The 2,507-nt window shown below is 44.6% G+C and overlaps 1 protein-coding gene across 1 annotated transcript; it reads left to right on the top strand.

Annotated features, from left to right (window-relative positions):
• Positions 1-584: 584 nt before the first annotated feature.
• PPIAP59 (peptidylprolyl isomerase A pseudogene 59) lies at positions 585-1,335 on the top strand (the record flags this gene model as incomplete). The annotated part of the gene is made up of 1 exon (XM_047439804.1): positions 585-1,335. A coding segment is annotated over one exon (540 nt), but the record flags the coding sequence as incomplete, so codon positions are not given.
• Between the last annotated feature and the right edge of the window lie 1,172 nt (positions 1,336-2,507).

Genomic DNA, 2,507 nt, shown 5'->3' with positions numbered 1-2,507 from the left:
GGTTCTAATCGCCAGGACCTCAGAATGTGATCTTAGTTTGAAATACAGTCATTTCAGGTATAAGTAGTTGAAGTCTTACTAGAGTATGGTGGACTCTTAATCCAGTATGACTGGTGTCCTTATAAAAACAGGGAAGAAAATATGAAGACAGACACAAAGGGAGAGGGCCATGTGAAGAGAGAGGCAGAGATTGGAGTATTGCAGCTGCCAGCCAGGGAAGGCCAGTGGTCAGCAGCCGTCAACAGAAGCCAGGAAAGACTCTACGCAGAGCCTGAGGGCGTGTGGCCTTGCCGACACCATGGGGACCTTGATTTCAGACTTACAGTCTCCAGAGCTCTGAGAGAATACATTTCTTTTGTTTAAAGCCACCCAGTTTGTGCTAGTTCGTTACAGCAGCCCCACAGAACTGATACACGAGTGGGTCAGCTCTCGGTGTACACAGGTCCACTTGACAACAGCAGACATACAAAGGGCCATAAAGCACACGAAACAATGCTCAACTTCTTTCGTCATGAGAGGAAATCCAATTCAAGCCACAATTAGACGCTACCACCCACCCATCAGATCGGTTTTAAAAAATTAAAATAGGCTTTGCAGACACTGCCGCTGCGAGTCCTGTACTATCAGCCACGGTCAACCCCACCGTGTTCTTTGACATCGCCGTTGATGGAGAGCCCTTAGGCCACGTGTCCTTCGAGCTGTTTGCAGATAAGTTTCCAAAGTCAGCAGAAAAGGTTCATGCTCTGAGCACTGGAGAGAAAGGATTTGGTTATAAGGGTTCCTGCTTTCACAGAATTATTCCAGGGTTTATGTGTCAGGGTGGTGACTTCACACGCCATAAAGACACCGGTGGCAAGTCCCTCTACAGGGAGAAATTTGATGATGAGAACTTCATCCTAAAGCATACAGGGCCTGGCATCTTGTCCATGGCAAATGCTGGACCCAATACAAATTGTTCCCAGTGTTTCATCTGCACTGCCAAGACTGAGGGGTTGGATGGCAAGCACGTGGTCTTTGGCACGGTGAAAGAAGGCATGAAGATTGTGGAGGCCATGGAGTACTTTGGGCCCAGGAATGGCAAGACCAGCAAGGAGATCACCATTGCTGACTGTGAACAACTCTAAGTTTGACTTGTATTTTATCTTAACGACCAGACCATTCCTTCTGTAGCTTGGGAGAGAACCCCTTCACCCCACTTGCTTGCAGTATCCTAGAATCTTTGTGCTCTCACTGCAGTTCCCTTTGGGTTCCATGTTTTCCTTGTTCCCTTCCATGCCTAGCTGGATTGCAGAGTTAAGTTTATGATTATGAAATAAAAACTAAATAACAAAAAACTACAATAAATTCAATAAAAATAAATAAGATGAAAACGCCAAGATGTTGCACACTTCGTGGGGCACCTCGAACTCTCATACCTGGTTGAAGGGAGTGTCAAATGGTTCAACCGCTTCGGGAAAAAGTCTAGCAGTTTCTGATAATAAAAACCCCAGCCTGGGCCAGGTGCAGTGGCTCACGCCTGTAATCCCAGCACTTTGGGAGGCCAAGGTGGGCAGATCACTTGAGGCCAGGAGTTCGAGACCAGCCTGGCCAACATGGTGAAACCCTGTCTCTAACAAAAATGCAAAAATTAGCCAGGTATGGTGGTGGGAGACTGTAATTCCAGCTACTGGGGAGGCTGAGGCAGAACAATCACTTGAACCCCGGAGGTGAAGGTTGCAGTGAGCCGAGATCACAAAACTGCACTCCAGCCTGAGCGAAGGAGCAAGACTCTGTCTCAAAAAACAAAAATGAAAAAACACCCCATGATCTCACCAACCAGAGGAAACCAATGTTGACATTTGTGTGCGTGCGCGCGTGCGTGTGTGTGTATGTGTGTGCTGGACAGAGACAGGATAGCAGAGCAGCTAGGCACACAGTCTTCCGAGCCAAAATACAAGAATAATAGTACAAATGCAAGAATAATAGTACAACTTCACGGGGTTGTTTCAAGGATAATGGATTACTCAGCAAAGCTTTGGATTTGGATTTGGGTTTCAAGAAAAACTGTCGAGAAACCACTCTACCAAAACACCCCTGCAAGGCAGTAGACCAAGATGAGTGAAATTGTTCATCTTCACAATTAGGAGCTTGTCCTGAGTTTTTGTAGCTTTTTGAAACAGTGCACCTTAAGAAATAAGCCAGGTCTGCATCATCTATCTCCACTGATAACAATGAAGGGAGTCATCACTAGTTCTCACACTTAGTCACTGTTGTATAACTTACGCAACTGACTCAATGATGTTTCACAAAGTTTGTGACCAACTCAAAGGTGGTCTTTTGTTTTGTTTTGTTTTGCTTTTGTAGATAAAGTTTTATTGGAACACAGCCATGCTTATTCATGTATGTATTGAGTATGAGTTGTTCGATGAAGCAGAGTTGACTGGTTGATAACAGAAACCATATAGTCCACAGAACTTAAAATATCTTTAAAATTGCAATTTAAAAATATTTCCCTTATTTTATTTTAT

The sequence above is a fragment of the Homo sapiens genome, chromosome 19 (assembly GCF_000001405.40).
Source record: "Homo sapiens chromosome 19, GRCh38.p14 Primary Assembly".
Lineage (NCBI taxonomy): Eukaryota > Metazoa > Chordata > Mammalia > Primates > Hominidae > Homo > Homo sapiens.
Note: the sequence above shows the minus strand (reverse complement) of the source record. Positions and strands in the feature narration are given on the sequence as shown.